Consider the following 23,980-nt stretch of genomic DNA (forward strand, 5'->3'; position numbering starts at 1 on the left):
CTGCAGTCTGCCCTGGATCTTTATTAGCGGACTCTGGTGCAGGAATGGGTTTTGAATATCACATCTGTTTTTTGTCCTTTTGTTTTTTTTAAAACCACATTCTAAATAAGTTTTAAGTTAAGGACTATCCATCATGTCTGAGGGAAAAATATGTCACAAAGAATGTTTCTGTGCCAGAGGGCCATTAGTCTTTGGTCTGACTTCCTAGTTAACTTCCTCTTTTTTTAGTCTTCAAATAACTGGCCTTAGAAATGCAGACTAAGAGCAGTGACAGTATTCTCACCATGCTCTAATAATAAGAGAAATAACAGGCAAAAATGAAAAAGAGGTGGAAATAAAAGAGCTGACCAGTTTTTTATTGTTGCTATTATTGTTGTTGGAGGTTGAGAAGGGGAGATGGTCATCAGGAGAATAAACAATTAAACATCTTGAATTCGTGTTGTTTTTGTATATCTACAGGCATATATTTATAAATGCCTTTGCCACTTCCCCTGTTCTCTTAAGAAATTTGTATCCATCTTCCCCCTGTACACACTCCTCACACTGAAGGCACACATTTTACCTATATAAACATACTTTAGGAGATTGTAACTTGCCAAAACTGTTGCTCTCAACAGTTACTTTACTGTGGTATCCCATGTCCAGAACTCAGGAACAAAGAAAATGTTGTCCTAAAGTTTGCATCTGTGTTTGGTTTAGGCAGAACATGATTGCTAAAGTTCAGGTTGTGGTGGTTTAAGAGAGTATATTCTCCCTCCAGAAGGGTTAATTTTACTGGACTCAGTGATCTTACACTGTGTTTCCCAACTCCTAGCAAATAGCAAGGGATTGATACATAGCATTTACCACATCTGATTCTGTTTGTATCTCAGGACACTGTGAGCTTCTTAAAGGTAGGTCCATTATACAGTATCACTGTTTGATTAAGTAAGGGGGGCACCTGCCTTGGGCCCCACAATTTAGAGATACCTGCTCTGGTCCTTCTGCTGCCTGCACCCCTCCCCACAGAGTGAGGAATCCATAGGGCTAAGAATATGCCTACCTAGATCCCTTCTGTTGCTTGCTTGGGTACCTGAAACCCAGAATTCTCTGTCCACATGGTCCAAAATGTATTTCCAGGGTCTCCATGCATCTTTTTCTGGGCTCCATTCTTTTGAGGGCGGGTCCCGTCTCTGATATGTATACCTCTAGGCCTGAGAGTTTGCTGATGGCAGCTGTTTCTGAGGGCATGTGGACATTACCCAAAGTGTCCACACTCGTATGTGAGACCTCTTGAGGTGCAGGGTGGATGGGGTTGGAAAAGCAGGGAGGTTTTCTGAGGGCTAGGCACCTGGGGCTGGCTTTCCTCATGTCACTACTTTCCAGTGCAGAATCCTGAGGAGTCTGGAGAATTCTAAGTTTGAATCTGTTCTCCTGGTCGCTGTGAAAGTATATTTGTTAAGGTAGGAGGATAGAGCATGTTTTACTTAACAACATTCTAGCTTAATATAAAATTTAGTAATTTAGTCATATGATATATACCCATTTGTGTTTTTGGCCCAGACTCTACAAATCTTGGGCTTGGTCCTGTTATTAAATATCCTCTAATGCTTCTCTCCAGTATTTAACTGTAGTGCTTGGCATATGATAGATGCTAATAAATGAATTAAATTGAAACTAAGAATGCCTTACCATGGCAGAAGATCAGAAGTGTAGACAAGCCTCTATTTACTAGCCTTATAGTTTATAGTTCAGGGGAAATCTATTCAGAAGTGAACTTCAGAATGACGGGTGGAATTTCTAAAGGAGCACAAATTAAATTCAGGCTTTCTCATTTGTTCTTCACAGGACTTTAATTTATCATTTGTGGATTCAGCCATATTCGTGTTATTTTCCTACCATATCTTTTGATAGCTTGCAGATACGTTAGTTTGTAACCAGGTTTTGGCTTTTCATATAATGCTGAATTTGCCTGAGATGCTAGTGTTTTGTGTGTGTGTCTATGTCTACTTGGTTAACTGTATTTAAATGGTGTCCAGATCATTCCTTTCAACAGGAAGCAGCAACTTCCATTTATTGTTACTTTGTGTCAGGCATTACATGAAGTAGTTAACATCCAGTATCACATTTAGTCCCCACAATAATTTTATGAGATAGGGGGATTTATCCTAATGTCACAGATGTAAAAGCATAACATCAGGAGTGCTTAAGTGATTTACCCAAGACACAGACCTAGTGAACAAGAAAAAAATAATCTACTTTTATGTACTTCAAAAGCTAATTTCCAACAAATGTTCATGGTAATTTACTTTGGAATAAGATGCAAATAATGTTTTTGCTATTTATTCTGCCTTTCTTTATATCATGCATAGGAATTCAACCTTATTGATAGAAGAGAACTTGCACCACTCCAAGAACTGATTGAAAAACTCACCTCAAAAGACAGATAAAAGGATGCAGAGCTGTGCAAATTGTTCCTCAAATGAAGCAGTGTGGAGTGTATTGGGGATTTTGTTATATTTTGTTTTTATCTGGATTGTTTTTGTCCTAGGTTTGGGGGCGGGGGCTTGTTTGGGTTCCTTTTTCTTTATTCTGATTATGTGAAACCATATTCTATTGCTAGGGGAAGCCAAGAACCATTCTCTATACACTTGATAAGGGTAAATTTATCTTAGTGTTTTTAAACTTGGTTTTGGTTACTTGAGGAGTTTTTTAATAATATTGTGTGCTGCAAGAAAGTGCTTGTTGATTGAACTGCCGATGGATTGGTTTCTGTGTGGTATAAATTGTGGCCCATTTATGAAGTCCCCAAAAGAGTTATGTTTTTAAGTGCCTTGGCAGGCTCACTTCTGAGGTGCAAAACATAGATATAGAACTGAACAGGGCTTGAAACAATATTAGGATTACTACCCAGGGCACTTACTGGTGCATGTTGTAACATATCTATGATAAAAGCCATAGTTTACCTAAAATGGTGATTTCCAGCCTTTACTGCTTTGAAGAAACAGAATTTGTAAAGGTATGCATGTAGAACATAAAAAATATTTCTTAATTATTTTTTATATTGATGGTAATATATTACGTTCAACAATGCTTAAAGCTCTACAAGCAGGTCTTTTCCCACCTCTTGATATCTGTGATACTGAAACTTGAGGATGTTGAAATGTATTACATTTTGGCTTCTTTCTACATGTTAACTGCACTGTAGATGTAAAAATTCAGGTTATATATAGGATTGCCATCTTCAGAGGTGATGCTGAACTGTGAGGTTTCCTAGTAATTGCCAAATGAGCCGTAAGTCTGCAGAATTCCCTTCTACTTTGAAGAGAAGGGGATAGGAATGTATATTTGGCTGGGGGCATGGAGATGTTCGTATGTATGAGGAGTTAGGGATGGGGAGTCAAGTTCTAGAAAGTTTTGTCTGAAAACCTTTGAATAGAATGGCATGAAGATTTTAATCAATTACTTATAAACAAAGTCTTAGAGACTTCCTTTTAGGAATCAACTTCCATGAGAAGTTAAAAATAAATTATTAATTTTAGGTACAGACATTAAACATGGAATTTAAGGACTGTTGGGGGAAATTGATCACTTCTTAGCATTTCCATTCAGTGAATGGAGCTGATGTTTGCCTGTCATTTTAAGATGATACCATACCTTCTTTGGTTATTATAGGTCCAGTTTGAAGCATTCTGACTTCTGGTTTTTCCACCCTGAAAGGAAATGTTTTTCTTTGCAGCAGTATTAGATAATGAAAAATGCTAATTCAGTAGTTATTAACTTCTAAATTTTATTCGCCATGACTTTCTAGTGAATTATTACCATAAATAACAATTTCAGAAACTTAGTTTTTAGAATAAATATTAATTTTTCCACTTCAGTTTTATTCTAGAAAATACCCTTTTTAGAAATCCAGTTTTAGTTTTGTCATTTTCGATAAATCTTTCTTCAGTTAGAAATATATATCCTTCCTTCAGTTGAAACATATACCTTTTTCACATCTAGGAAGAAATGCTTGCTCTGAAATAGTATAGATTAAAAACACTCAGTAGAAAAGAATCTAAAATTAAATGAATTTGTTTTGCCATTAAAGTAGAGCAGTGATACAATTTAATGCCATTACAATTATGTTGACTAGAAACTGCCTTTTTCTCCACTTCATTTCTAGCAATTATTTACCAAGTACCAACAGTAGAAGTAACAGGAAAGCCTGGCAGAGTTAAATATCTTGGACATTTATTGGTAAAGCTTATTTATAAACTGCAGTCAGAGCTAGTTAATTTCCTTAAATCTTTTTGTATTCAGATAGATAATATGAATCATTATGGGTTGATTCAGAAATAAAATTTGTGAGGTGATTTTGAATCTTGTCCATATAGGAAAATGAAGCACAGAATTACTCAGTCTTCCATATTGTATTTGACTTCATATCAATCTAGTAAAAAAGGAGTTGCAATAGCCAAGTATAGAGAGAATAGTGAAAAATTAATCTTGCCCTTTCAAGCCTTATACAGTAGTACACTGTACTTGTTTTTAGTAGTAAGACCTACTTTCCCACTATATGTAGATAGTTTGTTTTCACTGTGCCAGAATCTCAGGTGCCTGCTTAGAGTATTTCTTTAATCACAGTCACTGGGAAGTAAGGAGATGTATATATGTGTATATATGGTAACAAAGCATAGCAGTTCTCTAGGGGAGAGGCCTGGCATTGCACATGGTGTTACATGGCTACAAGTAAGGAAAAAATCAGAAAGTGAAAGAACTGATGTAATAAAAGGTTGATTTGGTTGGTTCCCATGAAAGTTAGTAAGATGCCCTTTTAAATATAAGGATCAGTGCTTTGTTCTGCAGCAGAGTTTGCTGATAAATGTCTGTTGGATTCTTTTTGGATTTCTTTAATTAATTTGTAAGTAACCAAGATAATTATTTTCCCCCTTGCTCTCTATATTAATACGTAGCTATAAAGCAACAGTTGGTTTTCTTATCCTTTGATAAAAGCATCCCATAAAATATAAAGTAGTAAGTTAACATAGTATTATTGTCACACACAATGCTTTTTTTGGTTAAATGTTGATACGAAGCAATGTTTTGGAATTACTTTAATTGATGGAGTAGTGGTGGTAGAGAGAAATTAATAACAAAAAGAGTGAAAATATTTTAATTAGCAGTAGATGGTGCTACTGGCTTTCATTTGCTGACTTGATTATTCCCTTTCTCTTAAAAACCATGGCATTAGACTGCACTAAATTAACAAGCATGTTAGTTGCTGGTAGAGGTTTTGGAGGTTAATTTACCTTAAATTGGAAGACTTTTAATTGCAGTCTCTTTCTACCTTCCCTCTGTTAGTCATTTGTAAATTCTAAATGGTCACCATAAAATGTATTAGGTAGGAGAAGATACGTTTTATGTATAATATATCTCAGACTGAGTTACTGCCTGTCTTATCAGGATGGATAAAACACTACAGTCTCTTATCAGGAAATAGAGATGATGTGGATATTTATATATTACATATATAACCACCAGACTCCATTTTATATATTAGCATTTTCCTTGCTTATGGGAAAATAGCAAAACAACATTTCATTTATACTTTTGTTTACCCCTCTCTGAGACAGGTTTTGATAACCACTGAAATGGTAGAATATGTGAGATACAAATATTGAGTTGTAGAACTTTCTTTTTAAGGTGAATAAGTCATGCCTTAACATCCAAATAAGAGTTCATCTTCAGAGTGGTTCTTTTGGGAGCACTGTTTATTCCAGCTATACTGCAAAAGTATAATGTTTTTGGAACTGTTCTAGAGCATACCATGAAAAGCAGTTTGTTATTATGCAGGAAAATCAGTTTCATCATTTTAGTTACACTAAACACTTTTGGCAGCTTAATATGACCTTTTTAAATTTTTTTTATTTTTTTTATTTTTATTTCTTTAAGATGGAGTCTTGCTCTGTTGCCCGGGCTGGAGTACAATGGCATGATCTCAGCTCACTGCAACCTCCACCTCCTGGGTTCAAGCATTTCTCCTGCCTCAGCCTCCCAAGTAGCTGGGATTACAGGCAGCACCACACCTGGCTAATTTTCATATTTTTAGTAGAGATGGGGTTTCAACATATTGGCCAGGCTGGTCTCAAACTCCTGACCTCAAGTGATCCGCCCTCCCCAGCCTCCCAAAGTGCTGGGATTACAGGTGTGAGCCACCACAGCCAGCCAGTATGACCTATCTTAATCATCAGCTCAACTGTAATTTAAATTTGGCTGTTCTCTGGAGCTAAACCATTAGGGAAGTTCAAAGGAATGTGCCATGATTTCCGAATTTGCACAAGAGAATGTTTTAAGCATTGGTAGCATAATTGAATAAAAGAATAGTTTCCTGATGTCACTATTTTGAAGTGGAAATTATCACTTGGATGTGGAGGTTTTACTTTTTAAAAACATTCAGCTTAATTACCTTACCTTAATTACCTTAGTTAGATATACTAATGGAAAAAAACCAAGTCCTTTCTCTAGAACTTGTTTTCTATTTTTGTTCCTTTTCATGAAAACTTCTCAATTTAATTTTAACTACTGTAGGATAGTATTGATTGAATGGATACTATGGAAAAGTGGATCCAATATTTAAGATAGAAGTAGTTTAAGGAGACAACAGCCTTTACTGCCATTTTTTTTTAAATGTTTTCACTCAGATGAACAATTTGACTTTAATAAAAGACTGGAGATTTTTGTACAAAGAAATAGGAATAAGTTTCATATACTAATTATGCTGAGTTTTAAGCCTACATATCACAAAATATTTAGAATTGTATAACCTTTTCATATATTTATAACTTTTAATGTCTTTTTAAAAGATGTGGGACCAAAAATATATTTATAATTTGGAAATGTGACTGCATACCAATAAGAAAACTTACCTTATTTTGAAATTTATCTGGGATATTAAAGAATCTACCAATTCTTAAAAACACAGATTTATACTTTAAGCTTATTTTAAAATTAAAGAATATATACCAATTCTTAGAAACACTTTAAGGACTACTCTTAAATAACTTAAATATCAGAGTTTTGTTGTAATATTAAAATTTACCGTGGAAATCACTGTTGTTCAGCTATCACCTTAATTGTGTATGATATGATAAATGTTTAGCAGTAAAGCTATCTTAAGATTTAATGGAAAAGTTTAATTTGAAGATGTAACAAAAATTCTGACCACAGTTGATTCTGAATTTTTAAGGCTTTCCTAATAGGCTGATCACAGAGAATAATCCATTTTGAAGGTATAAAACTGCACTGTATGTCTGTCACTTGTAGCTGAACTGATTCACATTTTGACAAAAGAGAGAAAATACAAAAATGAGTTTTGCAAATGTAATAACTTTTTCTGCATATAGAACTAAATAATTGAAAAATATGGGCTATAGTTCTCAAAGGTAGATAGTAAAATCACTGGCTTTTTCCAGCTGTATGTTTTTCCACTGTGCGTGTACACACACACTGGAAAATAATTAGGCTGATTTTGCAGGTCTTCATTGTTAGAGATTCTGAAGTATTTACTGTCAATTCATAGGTTTCAGTTTATTTAGGAAATTAGTGTTTGACAGCTTTTTTTAAATTATTTCACTGAAGCTGAGATTATTAGTGATACAAAGTTAAAATTTCAATATTTAATTTCTCTATATATTATTAATATTAAATTGTTTTTTACTTATAAATTCATGTTCTCATCTGATTTAATATTAAATTTGTATAGGTGGGCGTTTCTTACCATTTTGCACAAGTTTTTGTTTTTCTGAAATACTTAATTGTGCAGGTTGTAAAAAAGATTAGTGCATTTTCATTTTAAGGATGCTTTGCTCCTTAAATTGTTCGACAGAAATGACTTTTTAGGGAAAGTAGTTTTTTTGGAGCTACTAACTTGTATTTATTATTGTACATGCATAACCAGGGTGGTGAGGGCACTAATCTTGTAGGAAACACTTACTTGATGTTTTATTTGAACTTTTCCTATAGGTTTAACTTTTACTGCATAGAATTAACACTAGGAACAGTGTCATGAAATCTGGGTTGAAGGAGAATACAGTATATATGAGAACACTTAAAGTTCAAATAGAAATCATTTCTGAAGACAAAAGCAGAGGAATATTGTCAGTGCCAAGTAATGGAAGAATAAGGGCGGCATTTACACTGTGCAAGTATTGAGAAGAGTGCATAAAGACAGGGAACTACTCTCATGGAGACAGTTTCTCTCTTATAATCAAGTAACTAGAAGGGGAAAAATCATCTAAGTTATGAAATCCAACATAGGCGCTATATTACAAACTGTGCCGGATTATGCAAATTGTAGTTGTTACTGATCAAAGTTTAATTGCTTCATTTTTGTTTAAAAAGGGATACTGATGTCAGAAAATCTGTAATATGTTTTATTCAAAAGATGTAAATAATGTATACAGACTTGTATGTGATGGGATGGGAAATATTTAAATTCTAGGTGTTTTTTTTTTTTTAAAGAAGAAACTCAATGTTTATAAGAAAAAAATGAATAAATAGTTACGTTTGGCCATGAATCCTGACTTTGCATTACTGTTTATTTTTGCTATAGGCATTCCCACACTAAACACATTCCAAGGGAAATATTGATGGCATATGGAATATGTTGAACATTTAAAATTTGTTAGGCACTATTTTCTGTAATGTTCACAACAACCAGTGTCTTAACATCTTAGAAAACTAAAGCTCAGAAATTGTACAAGTCACTGATTTGGATTACGGTTTTAAAACCCTACTGTGTCTGAACTTGAAACCAGTGTTTCTGTTTTACTTTTTTCACTTTTTTCTTTATTCTGCAGTATGCAGGTGTATGTTTTCTATAATATATACTATTACAGTGAGAACAGTTAGCACAGTAATAATCATTTGTTGACCTCTTCACCAAGCTATTATTTAATATTTTGTCTTCATTACAGATCATTAAGGAATATTAATAATATTGGAGAATCATTTACCAAGTTCCAAAAGGAAATGTGTATTTTATTTTATTTTATTTATGAGACGGAGTCTTGCTCTGTTGCCCAGGCTGGAGTGCAATGGCACGACCTCAGCTCACTGCAACTTCCACCTCCTGGGTTCAAGTGATTCTCCTGCCTCAGCCTCCCAAGTAGCTGGGATTACAGGCATATGCCACTATGTCCGGCTAATTTTTTGTATTTTTAGTAGAGACAGGGTTTCACCATGTTGGCCAGGCTGGTCTCAAAACTCCTGACCTAAGGTGACCCATGAGCTTTGGCTTCCCAAAGTGCTGGGATTATAGGCGTGAGCCATCGCGCCTGGCCAAAACGTGTATTTTAGAAGTCTTCTCAGAGTATCAGAAGTATTTATGTTAGAGGCATTTGTGTTTGAATCTTCAGGTTAAGAATATTTAATGGTAGTAGCCACAGTTGCTCAAAGTCACTAATGGTATTTGGGAGAAAGACTAGTTGAAATGCTAGCCAATGCTGTTGTGGACTGTGTCTGCATGCTTTAAAAACGCCCTGTGGGCCGGGCGCGGTGGCTCACGCCTGTAATCCCAGCACTTAGGGAGGCCGAGGTGGGCGGATCACGAGCTCAGGAGTTGAGACCTGCCTGGCCAATGTGGGGAAACCCCATCTCTACTAAAAAATACATTAAAAAATTAGCCGGGCACGGTGGCGCTTGCCTGTTGTCCCAGTTACTCGGGAGGCTGAGGCAGGAGAATTGCTTGAATCCGAGAGGCGGACTGTGCCACTGCACTCCAGCCTGGGCGACAGAGCAAGACTCCGTCTCAAAAAATAAAAAAATAAAAACACTCTGTTATTCATTTATTGTGTGTAAAGAAATATATATTGTAAAATTACCTACATTTTGATAATTAGGTTCATTTACCTCTGTTGTACTAAATGTATTATAAGTTGTTAATCCCTTATATAACATCTGCAATGAGCATTTTGCAACACAAAGATTCTAATTAATTATTCCTCTAAGGTTTAAACAACCATGTTTAGTAGAAGTTTTACTAAGAAATTGTACATGCTCCTGTTACAGCATGATGAATACAGTGTCACATTTTCTTGATGACCTCAGTCCACTTCACAAGCATGTAGTAAAACAGCTTTCTTTGCTAAGCTGTATACATCTGATGGCTCCTATGCTCTTCTAGTATGTTATTTTGCTTTCAGATTTCAGATTTGCAGGAAGCACACTGACTCCCACTCTTGCATTTATGATGGCTTCTGTACCCCGTTTTCTAGGCACTAATGAAGATTACAAGGGGAAATTTATAACCAAGCTTATTAAGTTGATAAATATCATTTTACAGAAGTAGTTGAGTTTGTGTAGACAAACTCATGGGCTGTGTAACCACTACTTAATGTTCAGGGTCTCTTATTTTTTCTGCTTTTTATTATTTTCTGGGTTGATTTAGTTTTCCTAATAAACCTGTATGTTGTCAGTCAGAACGCTGTCTCATTCTTTAGTTACACTAGAATTCCCACAGGAGAAAATTCCCAAATTGAAGGAGTAGTAAAATTTCTGGTAAGAAAGGATTAGGTGGCAGCACGATCATGACTGGCTGGGTGCGCTGTATCCTGTCTCTTATCTGCAGTTTCAAAACCTGAAAAGCTCAGAAAACCAAAATTTTTTTGTTTGTTTTTTTGAGACGGGGTCTCACTCTCATCCAGGCTGGAGTGCAGTGGCATGATCTTGGCTTAATGCAACTTCCGCCTCCCGGGTGCAAGCGATTCTCCAGCTTCAGCCTCCCGAGTAGCTGGGACCACAGGCACACACCACCACGCCCGGCTAGTTTTTGTATCTTTAGTAGAGACAGGGTTTCGCCATGTTGGCCAGGTTGGTCTCGAACTCCTGAACTCAGGTAATCTGTCCATCTCGGCCTCCCACAGTGTTGGGATTACAGGCGTGAGCCACCGTGCTTGGCCCCAAAGGTATTTTTTTTGAATTCAGTGCAAACTTATTCTGACCAGATGTTAATAGTCTTTATCCCACTTCATGTTAACACTCTTTGTTTCACTGCAAAATATTAGTGCATTTGATTTAACACCTCTGCAGGGGGAGTGGGGGTGCTTACTTAATAATTAATATACAGTATATGCACTGTATCGTTTCTAAAGTTTCGATTCCAAATTTTATTATTGAGACGGGGTCTTGCTGCTGTGTCACTCAGGCTGGCATGCAGTGGCGCGATCATAGCTTACTAAAGCTAAAACTTTGCAGGCCCAAACCATCCTCCCACCTCAGCCTCCTGAGTAGCTGGGACCACAGGTGTGTGCCACCACAACCAGCTAATTTTTGTATTTTTTCTATTAGTTTCGCCATGTTTCCCTGGTTGGTCTCGAATTCCTGAGCTCAAGCATTCCAGAGTACCTCCCAAAGTGCTGGGATTATAGGCAAGAGCCACTGCGTCCAGCCAGTTCCAAAGTTTAGAATTTCTTTTCTAAAAATCTTTTCTAAAAGTTTTAAATTCTGAAACATCTGGCTGCCAGGGTTTTAGATAAGAGATTGTGGACCAAAAATCAAGATGTTTTGAAAAGTGCTTTTCTCTGTTCTCTCCTTGTGTTACCCCCAGGTCATGTAGGAAAATGGGAAATTATGCTGGACTTAATGCCAAAAAAGCTAGATTCTTTGCTTCCCCCATTTACTTTGTTGTTGTTAGTTGAGACAGGATCTCACTGGAGTACAGTGGCATGATCTTGGCTCACTGCAGCCTTGACTCCCTGGCTTCGGTAATTCTCCCACCTCAGCCTCCCAAATAGTTGGGACTACAGGCGCCTGGCTAATTTTTCTATTTTTTGTAGAGACAAGAGTTTTGCCATGTTGCCCAGGCTAGTCTCAAACTCCTGGGCTCAAGCGATTCACCTGCCTCGGCCTCCCACATTTGTATTTTTCAAAGTATACTCTTAAGCTCAGATGAATTCAAGTTTTTGCAGCCAGAAACTGGTAGAACTGGTGTTTGAAATCTTTCATTTTCCAGTGCTTAAACTCTTCATCATTGTAAGATACTTCTTGTGTGGGTCTTTTTTGTGGAAACCACACTTGGAGATTTCTACTCCTTAACCCCAAGCCTCTTTATGACATCCATCCAGGACCAGCTCTGCTTTCCTGTTGAAGGTCTCAAGAGACTTGCCTTCCTCCTCTCGGTAGCTGCCAGTACTCTTACCATTTCATGAGTTTTCCCCCAAGCTTGGCTGTGAAATGTGATACCTATTAGCTTCCGCAGCACCTTTCTCCCAACTTCCTTGCTATACCTGATGACAACTCTTCAGGCCTCTTATATTCCTAGGATCTTGCTATTAATCACTATAGGGATAAGTAAAAGTAATATATACAAAATAATTGCATAACAGAATAATATAGGGCAGTTACATAGAATGATTCTTGCTGTTTAATCCTGGAAAATGTGATCCCCGAGGATTCACATTTTAATTTCTGCTCTTTATTTCTGAGGATGGAGTCACCGTTTTCCCCTTCTGGCTACACATTTAGATGCATTTCAGGTCTGATGATAGTTGCAATGTAAAAAAGAATAGCAAGGCCTTTGGTTTCTGTAGACAATTTGGACCAGATAACTTCCAGACTGGGTAATATCCGGTTTATTAGTGTTACTGGATGGGAAGTCTTGACTGAGTTGTCTGGGTTTTTGGCGTGTTGAACAAAGAATTGAACAAAACGTAGAAACAAAGCAACAAAAGAAGCAACGAAAGACAAAACAACAAAAGAACGAAGTAACAAAAGCACAAATTTATTGAAGCGAACCAAGTGCTTCAAGAGTCCCAATTGCAGTGTTCTTAAGGGTTACTAGGCTAAAAGAATTTGGTAAATCCCTAGGTGCCCTTTACAGTCGTCCAATTGGTTGCACCCTATGAAGGATTGGCCTGCGACCAATCAGAGGCTGAAATGGAGATGGCCGAGGACAATCAGAGGCGATGTGGAAACTTCTGTCTTGTAATCACAGGAGTGAAGGTGTGGCCTGTATGCTGCCTAGTCTTGCCTAGAAATTGCTGCACCTGCTGTTCTTTTGCTTATGCCTTAACCCTTGGTTACCCTAATTCCCTATTCTCTTGCCTCATTAGGTCTTTACCCTGACTAAAAATGCACTCATCTAGCTGGGACAAATCCTACACTGCATTTGTCCCATCTAGATGAGTATTCTAGCAGAGTACATGGCACATGAGTAGGCATTCAAAAATTCAACATACAGTACATTTTGTTACCTATGTGCCAGGTGTCGGGCAGGCTGAGTTAACAGCTGAACAGAAACCTACCTACCCAACGTGCTAACTTCTATACAGCATGGTCGTGCATCCAAATCAAATGGAAAGCGGTATGGGAGATCTGGAAAGGCCTCCTGTGGGTGGCATCTGACTACCTAAATTCCCATCCCAGTTTCACTTACTGACTTTGACACTTGGAACAAGCAGCCTCTCAGTGCCTGTTTTCCCACTGGCAGGTAAATGGGCTAATGACGGTATTTCTGGCACTAGACTTCGTTAATTAATGAAAAGCACATAGAAGAAAACAGCCTGGCTCTCTAAGTGGGCAGTGCGATTCCCAAGGACGGCACTTCGCCTGATAGTCTTCCTCTAGGCTGAGAAGCCAGAGTAAATCCATTTGATTTTCCTACCACACAGTGCCTTCTCCCCAGATGAGTTCAAAGCTTTAAGTCTATCCAGTTCTGTCCAGACGCGTCTGTTCATCTCCAACAGGCCCACTAGAGAGGCGGGTTTTCCAAAGCCTGGCACGGCCCACTGCAGGTGACGCCCTCTGCCCTCCAGCGCCCTCAGGCCTCTGGGGTCCACCCTTCCTCCCCACCCGACTCCGGAACCTCTTCCCGCGCCCTGCCCGGGCGCCTGGCTGCTTGGGGTAGAGGCCTTCCGCCACACGCGCGGCCCCGCCCCGGCCTTCACGTGACCTGGCGTGCGGAGCGCGCACGCGGGAACCCGCGCTGGAGGCGGGCGAGGGCCGAGGGGCAGCTAGGGAGCGCGGCTTGAGGAGGGCGGGGCCGCCCCGCAGGCCCGCCAGTGTCCTCAGCTGCCTCCGCGCGCCAAAGTCAAACCCCGACACCCGCCGGCGGGCCGGTGAGCTCACTAGCTGACCCGGCAGGTCAGGATCTGGCTTAGCGGCGCCGCGAGCTCCAGTGCGCGCACCCGTGGCCGCCTCCCAGCCCTCTTTGCCGGACGAGCTCTGGGCCGCCACAAGACTAAGGAATGGCCACCCCGCCCAAGAGAAGCTGCCCGTCTTTCTCAGCCAGCTCTGAGGGGACCCGCATCAAGAAAATCTCCATCGAAGGGAACATCGGTAAGGAGCCTCCGGAAATGTGGGACGCAAGGCTGGGGTGTCGCGGCAGTGGCTGAAGCTTCCCTTCGCCGCATCTCTCTGCAGCAACTCGGTGAGGGCTTTCCCTCCAGCCTGGCGGTGTGGACGCGGCCTCGGCTTCCTTTCCCACCCAGAGCATCCTTCCCTTACCTCCCGCTCCACGGGGTGACTGCGGTCCCCGGGGTCAGACTGGGCGCCAGGCCTGCGGTCTCTGTGAGGCGCGCTTTGAACCTCTGCTCCCTCTTTGTTGGGAACTCGCAAAGGGAAGCGGGGGAAGGGTATTAGATTTCTTGAGGTGTAACTTACATTAAATTCACCCTTTTTAGGTGTACTCTTCTATGAGGTTTGACAAACATTATGCCTTTTGCTATCACCATGATCGAGATACAGAACATTTTCATCACCTTAGAAAGTTCCTACCTGCTCCTTTGTATTCAGCCCCCTCCACCCTTCCTATTCCCTGGCACCCACTGATTTGATTTCTATCCCTGCAAGTGTTGCCTTTTCCAGAATGCCATATAAATGGAATCATAGGCTATATCGCCTTTTGTGTCTGGCGTCTTTCATTTAGCATAATGCTTTTGAAATTCATTCATGTTACTTGTGTCTGTAGTTTGTTTCTTTTTATTGCTGAGTAGTATTCCATTGCATGGATGTACCATCGTTTATCCATTTTCTAGTTGTGGACCTCAGGGTTGTTTACAGTTTTTTAGCTATATTATTAGCGAAGCATTGTTTTAGCTATATTATTAACGAAACTCGAAACATTCGAGTACAAGCAAAGAGGTCTTTAATGATCTTAATAGCATGGAGTTCCTCACCCCTTACTCCACATCCAAGTAAACATTGGATTATGATTCAAAGACCACTAACGTTTCTGTTAACTCAGATGGGGGGCAGACTAGGCCATGCCTGTCACTTTGCAAGATACACACCAACGTCCGATTCTTCTGTATCTCCAACCACAGGAAACCTACCCCTGAAACTTCCTGTTTTGATAGATTTAAAAAAAAATTTTTTTAGCTCCAGGTTGGGTGCTGGTCATTCATGCATACAGCAAATTTTTTAAAATTCTTACCACATTCAAAGCACTGTACCTTCTTGAAAAAGGCCAGGCAAGCAGATGCTTTAAGCATTCAAATGAATAGAAAAACTGCATTCTCAAAGAGGACTTCTTATTTCATTGCTCCAGAATTAAAGCACCAGTAGAAAGACCATATGATATAATTAGCAATGTAAGTTATTTGAGGGTGCATGTTTACTAGTATGGAATCTCTGACAGCTGCTTACTGAATAAAGAAGACCATATATAAAGACAGGAGAAAGTGGCTGAACAAAGCCATCTGAAAAGTAAATTTGAGGCAGGGCATGGAGGCTCATACTTGTAATCCCAGGATTTGGGGAGGCTTAGGCAAGAGGATCACTTGAGTCCAGGAGTTCCAGATCAGCCTGGGCAACATAGTGAGAACTCATCTCCACAAAAAAATTAAAAAATTAGTTGCATGTGTTGGTGTGCCTCCAGCTACTCAGGAGGCTGAGGCAGGAGGATTGCTTGAGCCCAAAGATCAAGGCCACAGTGAGCCATGATCACACTACTGCACTCTAGCCTGGGTGACAGAGCAAGACTCTGTTAAAAACACAGAAACAAAACAGTAAAGTTGAATGAATAACCCCTCGGATCAATACCACAATACATTCATCCCCTTTCCCTCTCTCCAATCCAGTTAGGTAGCATCATATTTAGAAATATTTCCTCAAAGCATCTTTAATCTTTTCAGCAGCTGAAATAATTTCCTAATATATCATCCCATCTCCAGTTTCTCTTAACTACTTCTGCAACGGTCTTTTTGTATGCAAATGTCATGTGTTATCCCCTGCTTAAAATTCTTCACTGATTTTGCCTTTACCTACACTGAAAGTAGTTGTGAACTGATAGCCTGCAATTGCACAATATTGGCCTGCACAGGTTGAAAAAAAATTTTACTGGCCAGTGGCTCAAGCTTGTAATCCCAGTGCTTTGGGAGGCTGAGGCAGGAGGATTGCTTGAGGCCAGGAGTTTGAGACTAGCATGGCAACATAGTGAGAACTAGTCTCTAAGAAAAATAAAAATAAAATTAGGCCAGGCACAGTGGATCACGCCTGTAGCTCCAACTACTCAGGCGGCTGATGCTGATGTGGGAGGATCACTTGAATGTGGGAGGCAGAAGTTGCAGTGAGCTGAGATGGCACCACTGCACCCCAGCCTGGGTGACAGAGTCTCAAAAAAAAAAAAAAAGCCAGTTGTGTTAGCATGCACGTTTAGTCCTAGCTACTCAGGAGGCTGAGGTGGAGATCTTTGAGACCTATAGTTTGAGGCTGCCGTGAGCTGTGGTTGTGCCACTGCCCTACAGCCTGGGCTACAGAGTGAGACCCTGTGTCTAAAGAAAAAAAAATTAAATTTGTTGCTAACTCGAAAACGTTTTGAGATTTCCCATAAACAATTAGATTCTTGGCTTCTTTTGAAAAATCTGAAGATCTGTTAACACCGGGCCTGCATTTCTGTATGACAACAATTGGTGTTTAGATGGAGCATGTTCCTTGCCATTTTTCGTCTCCCTGACACTGAGACTTTGTTAGTTACTGTTCATTATTGGTCTTGCACTTTTGTTCATGTCTCCTTCACCTTATTTGCCAGATCCAAATAAGCTGTAAATGCACAAATTGTTAAGCTGTGCGTAAACTATTTTGCAATTCCTCTATTTTTCCTAGAATTTGAACTTTACTTGGTCGTTTTAGTTTTATATTTATATAACCCATCTTCTTATGTTCTGTGTTACTCAAATGTTCCCTTATGTTAGATTGATGGAGGACTTACCTGCTTCTCATCTTAATAGTCTGTTCAGAATGACTTTCAGCATTATAATGCCTGCTTGGCATTAGGAATTCTGTTAGTTTCCATGACTTTTTAAAGTATTAACATCAGTGTCTTTGGTTCTTGTTCTCCTTTGCCTTCATAGAAAATTAATTTATTAATTAGCTTATTTTCTAGCTCCCACTTTGCCCCAATAAGTTAAGGAACTAGATGTGTTAGTGTGATTGGGAACTCTAGCTGTTATTACTCTGCTTGAACTAAATGTAACTGTTATTACTCTTAGACTTTTTAAGTATGACCATATGAATTTTTCTGCTTGTAAGCAGTGTCAGAAGAAAGTTGAATGCTGTAGCCTTAAGTGCTTTCAGACTCTGGTGGATGCCTAATTTTTTTATTTGTTCCTTGGGTGCTATTTCTGAACATCATGTTCTCCTTTCCCTCTTCCATCTAGCTCAGTGAATGTGGGGTGTTCTTTCTATATGCTTTCACTTCCACTTAACATTCTTCTAAATGCTGTACAGTCCCTAAGCTTACACTCTCCATACTAAATTTTGGTGGCCAGTGTTTTTACCATGATTAAATCTCACTGTTATCCAGTTTATCGTTAAAAGTTTTTCTCCTCTCCTCTGGATACAGTTTACTTTGTGTTTTTCTTCTAAACTGTCTACCTGTGTCACCTTCTTTACTGCCTCGCTCCTGTTTTTTCTCTGTGTGTAATTCTTTAAAGTTCTTCCAGGTTTTTCTTCTTTTCTATTGCCCTGTCTAATGTCCTAGATTTAAATATAGTTCTGCAAGTCAAAGGTAAGTTCTTTCTACTCCCCATGGATCTAATTTATAAGGAAGAGGAAGCTTTGCTTGTAAGTATATTGAAGTTATTTATATGTTCATCTGTGTGTGTGTGCACGCACACACAGGGAAAGAGAGAGAACATTATGCTAACCAGAGATGTCTAATACAACCACATTTGGTGACTTCAGATATAAAGGGTGTGGTGGCCATTAGGAGTATTACTTCTAGGTCAAGACTGTCCCTACTATTAAATATAATATATTGTTAAACTAAACGTAATAAAAAACAAATGTGCTTAATGAAATTGGGCAGGGAGCCTTTTCATTTTCTTCTAAAGAAATATGAAGAGAAAGTTTAGAAAGTTGAATGTTTTGGGCTTTTTATGTTGCTTGCTATTGTAAATCTTGCAAAAGCTAATGACTACTTGACATCTTTTTTTCCTGACAACTTTTCTTCCTCAATTTTATCTTTCCTCACAACAGCTGCAGGGAAGTCAACATTTGTGAATATCCTTAAACAATTGTGTGAAGATTGGGAAGTGGTTCCTGAACCTGTTGCCAGATGGTGCAATGTTCAAAGTACTCAAGATGAATTTGAGGTATGAAAATAAAATTTAAGTAGATAAAAGCCTCTTGGTTTAGAGGAGCAGTAGTACTTAATCTCTTTTTCTTTTTCTTTTTCAATAAAACTTTCAAATCTCGCTTTAGGTATATATCTTCATCTAGGTGGTGGTTACATGGATATATATACAGTTGGCTCTCCATATCAATGGGTTTCAGATTGATATGGATTCAACCAATCATGAATAGAAAATATTCAGAAAGAAATAATACAAAAAAATACAAATAATAAAGGATTACTGTTCATATAGCATTTACATTGTATTAAGTATTATAAGTAATCTAGAGATGATTTATACTATTTGGGAGGATATATGCAGATACTACACCATTTTACATAAAGGACTTGAGTATATGTGGATGTTGGTATCTGTGTGGAACCTGGAATCAATTCTTGAGGTTACTGAGGGGTGACTATATGTTTAAACATGCATTGAGGCCGGGGTTGGTGGCTCACGCTTGTAATCCCAGCACTTTGGGAGGCTGAGGCGGGCGGATCACTTGAGGTGAGGAGTTCAAGACCAGCCTCGTTAACATGGTGAAATGCCGTCTCTACTAAAAATACAAAACTTAGCTGAACGTGGTGGTGGGCACCTGAATTCCACCTGCTTGTAAAGCCGAGGTAGGAGAATTTCTTGAACCCAGGCAGCGGAGGTTGCAGTGAGCTGAGATGGCGCCACTGTGCTCCAGCCTGGGTGACAGAATGAGACACTGTCTCAACAAAAAAAAAAAAAGGAAAGTAAAATTTATCAAACTATGCATTCAAGATTTATGCACTTTAAGTAAAGTATAAAAGTTTTCTTTTTCATAAAAATTTCTTTTTTTGTTGTTATCCTTTAAGTTCTGGGATACATGTGCAGAACGTGCAGGTTTGTTATGTAGATATACACATGCCATGGTGGTTTGCTGCACCCGTCAACCCGTCATCTACATTAGGTATTTCTCCTAATGCTAACCCTTCCCTTGCCTCCTACCCCACCGACAGGCCCTGGTGTGTGATGTTCCCCTCCCTGTGCCCATGTGTTCTCATTGTTCAACTCCCACTTACAAGTTAGAACATGCGGTGTTTGGTTTCCTGTTCCTGTGTTAGCTTGCTGAGATTGATGGTTTCCAGCTTCATCCATGTCCCTGCAAAGGTTATGAACTCATTCTTTTATTATGGCTGCATAGTATTCTTTGGTGTATATGTGCCACATTTTGTTTATCCAGTCTATCATTGATGGGCATTTGGGTTGGTTCCAAGTCTTTGCTATTGTGAATAGCGCTGGAGTAAACATACATATGCATGTGTCTTTATGGTAGAATAATTTATAATCCTTTGGGTATATACCCAGTAATGGGATGGCTGGGTCAAATGGTATTTCTGGTTCTAGATCCTTGAGGAATCGCCACACTATCTTCCACAGTGGTTGAACTAATTTACACTCCCACTAACAGTGTAAAAGCATTCCTATTTCTCCACATCCTCTCCAGCATCTGTTGTTTCCTGACTTTTTAATGATCACCATTCTAACTGGTGTGAGATGGTATCTCATTGTGGGTTTGGTTTGCATTTCTCTAATGACTGGTGATGATGAGCTTTTTTTCATGTTTGTTGGCTGCATAAATGTCTTCTTTTGAAAAGTGTCTGTTCATATCATTTGCCCACTTTCTGATTGGGTTGTTTGTTTTTTTTTCTTGTAAATTTGTTTAAGTTCCTTGTAGATTTTGGATATTAGCCCTTTGTCTGATGGGTAGATTGCAAAAATTTTCTCCCATTTTGTAGGTTGCCTGTTTACTTGGATGATAGTTTCTTTTACTGTGCAGAAGCTCCTTAGTTTAATTAGATCCCATTTGTCAGTTTTGGCTTTTGTTAACACTGCTTTTGGTGTTTTAGTCATGAAGTCTTTGCTCATGCCTATGTCCTGAATGGTATTGCCTATGTTTTCTTCAGAGTTTTTATGATTTTAGGTCTTATGTTTAAATCTTTAATCCATCTTGAATTAATTTTTGTATAAGGTGTAAGGAAGGGGTCCAGTTTCCGTTTTCTGCATATGGCTAGCCAGTTTTCCCAGCACCATTTATTAAATAGGGAATCCTTTCCCCATTGCTTGTTTTTGTCAGGTTTGTCAAAGATCAGATGGTTGTAGACGTGTGGTATTATTTCTGAGGGCTCTGTTCTGTTCCATTGGTCTATAGCTCTGTTTTGGTACAATACCATGCCGTTTTGGTTACTGTAGCCTTGTAGTATAGTTTGAAGTCAGGTAGCATGAGGCCTCAAGCCTTGTTCTTTTTGCTTAGGATTGTCTTGGCTATACGGGCTCTTTTTTGGTTCCATATGAAATTTAAGGTAGTTTTTTCTAATTCTGTGAAGAAAGTCAATGGTAGCTTGATGGGAATAGCATTGAATCTGTAAATTACTTTGGGCAGTATGGCCATTTTCACAATATTGATTTTTCCTATCTATGAGCATGGAATGTTTTACCATTTGTTTGTGTCCTCTCTTCTTTCCTTGAGCAGTGGTTTGTAGTTCTCCTTGAAGAGGTCCTTCACATCCGTTGTAAGTTGTATTCCTAGGTATTTTATTCTCTTTGTAGCAATTGTGAATGGGAATTCACTCATGATTTGGTTCTCTGTCTGTTAGTGGTGTATAGGAATGCTTGTGATTTTTGCCCATTGATTTTGTATCCTGAGACTTTACTGAAGTTGCTTGTCACCATAAGGGATTATGGGCTGAGATGATGGGGTTTTCTAAATATACAGTCATCATCTGCAAACAGAGATAATTTGACTTCCCCTCTTCCTATCTGAATCCCCTTTATTTCTTTCTCTTGCCTGATTGCCCTGGCCAGACCTTCCAATACTATGTTGAATAGGAGAGGTGAGAGAGGGCATCCTTATCCTGTGCCGATTTTTGAAGGGAATGGTATCGGCTGTGGGTTTGTCATAAATAGCTCTTATTTTGAGATACATTTCATCAATACCTAGTTTATTGAGAGTTTTTAGCATGAAGGGATGTTGAATTTTATTGAAGGCCTTTTTTGCATCTATTGAGATAATCATGCGGTTTTTGTCATTGGTTCTGTTTATGTGATAGATTATGTTTTATTGATTTGAGTATGTTGAACCAGCCCTGCATCCCAGGGATGAAGCCGACTTGATCGTGGTAGATGAGCTTTTTAATGTGCTACTGGATTCGGTTTGCCAGTATTTTATTGAGGATTTTCGCATCGATGTTCATCAGGGATATTGGCCTGACATTTTCTTTTTTTTGTTGTGTCTCTGCCAGGTTTTTGTATTAGGGTGATGCTGGCCTCAAAAAATGAGTTAGGGAGGAGTCCCTCTTTTTCTATTGTTTGGAAGTTTCAGAAGGAATAGTACCAGTTCCTCTTTCTACCTGTGGTAGAATTCAGCTGTGAATCCATCTGGTCCTGGGCTTTTTTTTGGTTGGTAGGATATTATTGCCTCAATTTCAGAACTTTTTATTGGTCTGTTCATTAAACCAGAGTTCTTCCTGGTTTAATCTTGGGAGGGCGTATGTGTCCAGGAGTTTATCCATTTCTTCCAGATTTTCTAGTTTATTTGCGTGGAGGTGTTTATAGTGTTCTCTGATGGTAGTTTGTATTTCTGTGGGATCAGTGGTGATCCTTTATTGTGTCTATTTGATTCTTCCCGCTTTTCTTCTTTATTATTCTGGCTAGTGGTCTATCTATTTTGTTAATCTTTTCGAAGAACCAGCTTCTGGATTCATTGATTTTTTGAAGAGTTTTTCGTGTCTCTATCTCCTTCAGTTCTGCTCTGATCTTAGTTATTTCTTGTGTTCTGCTAGCTTTTGAATTTGTTTGCTCTTGCTTCTCTAGTTCTTTTAATTGTGATGTTAGGGTGTCGATTTTAGATCTTTCCTGCTTTCTCATGTGGGCACTTAGTGCTATAAATTTCCCTCTAAACACTACTTTAGCTGTGTCCCAGAGATTGTGGTACGTTATGTCTTTGTTCTCATTGGTTGCAAAGAACTTATTTATTTCTGCCCTAATTTCGTTATTTACCCGGTAGTCATTCAGGAGTTGTTCAGTTTCCATGTAGTTGTGCAGTTTTGAGTGAGTTTCTTAATCCTGAGTTCTAATTTGATTGCACTGTGGTCTGACAGACTGTTATGATTTCCATTCTTTTGCATTTGCTGAGGAATGTTTTACTTCCAATTATGTGGTCAATTTTAGAGTAAGTGCACTGTGGTACTGAGAATAATGTATATTCTGTTGATTTGGGGTGGAGAGTTCTCTAGATGTCTTTCAGGTCTGCTTGGTCCAGAGCTGAGTTCAAGTCCTGAATATCCTTGTTAATTTTCTGTCTTGTTGATCTAATATTGACAGTGGGGTGTTAAAGTCTCCCACTGTTATTATGTGGGAGTCTAGGTCTCTTTGTGGGTTTCTAAGAACTTGCATTTTGAATCTGGGTGCTCCTGTATTGGGTGCATATCTATTTAGGATAGTTAGCTCTTGTTGTTGCATTGAACCCTTTACCATTATGTAATGCCCTTTGTCTTTTTTTCATGCTTATTGATTTAAAGTCTGTTTTATCTGAGACTAGGATTGCAACCCCTGCCTTTTTTTTGCTTTCCATTTGCTTGGTAAATCTTCCTCCATCCCTTTATTTTGAGCCTTTGTGTGTCTTTGCATGTGAGATGCGACTCCTGAATACCGCACACTGATGGGTCTTAACTCTGTCTAATTTGCCACTCTGTGTCTTTCAACTGGGGCATTTAGCCCATTTACATTTAAGGTTAATATTGTTATGTGTGAATTTGATCCTGTTATTATGATGCTAGCTGGTTATTTTGCCTGTTAGTTGATGCAGTTTCTTCATAGTGTCGATGGTCTTTACATTTTGGTATGTTTTTGCAGTGGCTGGTACCGGTTTTTCCTTTCCATATTTAATGCTTCCTTCAGGAGCTCTTGTAAGGCAGGCCTTGTGGTGATAAAATCCCTCTACATTTGCCTGTCTGTAAAGGATTTTATTTCTCCTTCACTTATGAAGCTTAGTTTGACTGGTTATGAAATTCTGGGTTGAAAATTCTTTTCTTTAAGAATGTTGAATGTTAGTCCCCACTCTCTTCTGGCTTGTAGGGTTTCTGCCGAGAGATCTGCTGTTAGTCTGATGGGCTTCCCTTTGTGGGTAACCCGACCTTTCTCTCTGGCTGCGCTTAACATTTTTTCCCTCATTTTAACCTTGGTGAATCTGACGATTATGTGTCTTGGCGTTGCTCTTCTCAAGGGCATCTTTGTGATGTTTTCTGTATTTCCTGGATTTGAATGTTGGCCTGTCTTGCTAGGTTGGGGAAGTTCTCCTGGATAATAATCCTGAAATGTGTTTTCCAACTTGGTTCCATTCGTCAGTTTCAGGTATACCAGTCAAACGTAGGTTTGGT

The 23,980-nt window shown here is 38.9% G+C and overlaps 2 protein-coding genes across 7 annotated transcripts in view, besides 2 other annotated features; both read left to right on the forward strand.

Annotated features, from left to right (window-relative positions):
- The window catches only part of MOB1B (MOB kinase activator 1B), an 86,318-nt gene extending 77,778 nt beyond the window's left edge, over window positions 1-8,540 (forward strand). For all 5 annotated transcript variants that reach the window (XM_011532412.3, XM_005265709.3, NM_001244766.2 and 2 more), the window contains one exon: window positions 2,352-8,540. In XM_011532412.3, coding sequence (XP_011530714.1) covers window positions 2,352-2,429 — 78 coding nt within the window. In that variant the 3' untranslated portion in view covers window positions 2,430-8,540. The remainder of the gene's footprint in view (window positions 1-2,351) is intronic.
- Window positions 13,757-14,096: a silencer, noted in NCBI's record as "silent region_15474". NCBI's record gives its function as "represses an Ori minimal core promoter by ATAC-STARR-seq in GM12878 lymphoblastoid cells {active_cell/tissue: GM12878}" and the evidence as "EXISTENCE:reporter gene assay evidence [ECO:0000049][PMID:35858748]".
- The window catches only part of DCK (deoxycytidine kinase), a 37,266-nt gene continuing 27,306 nt past the window's right edge, over window positions 14,021-23,980 (forward strand). Inside the window, exons 1-2 of one of the 2 annotated variants that reach the window (NM_000788.3) lie at window positions 14,021-14,298; window positions 18,439-18,554. In NM_000788.3, the coding sequence (NP_000779.1) occupies window positions 14,208-14,298; window positions 18,439-18,554 (207 nt within the window). In that variant the 5' untranslated portion in view covers window positions 14,021-14,207. Of the gene's footprint in view, window positions 14,299-14,320; window positions 14,390-18,438; window positions 18,555-23,980 lie in introns of those variants that run through there. The other variant, XM_047449689.1, reaches the window with a different exon arrangement.
- Window positions 14,267-14,446: an enhancer, noted in NCBI's record as "active region_21603". NCBI's record gives its function as "activates an Ori minimal core promoter by ATAC-STARR-seq in GM12878 lymphoblastoid cells {active_cell/tissue: GM12878}" and the evidence as "EXISTENCE:reporter gene assay evidence [ECO:0000049][PMID:35858748]".

Source organism: Homo sapiens, chromosome 4 (genome assembly GCF_000001405.40).
Source record: "Homo sapiens chromosome 4, GRCh38.p14 Primary Assembly".
NCBI classification, from domain to species: domain Eukaryota; kingdom Metazoa; phylum Chordata; class Mammalia; order Primates; family Hominidae; genus Homo; species Homo sapiens.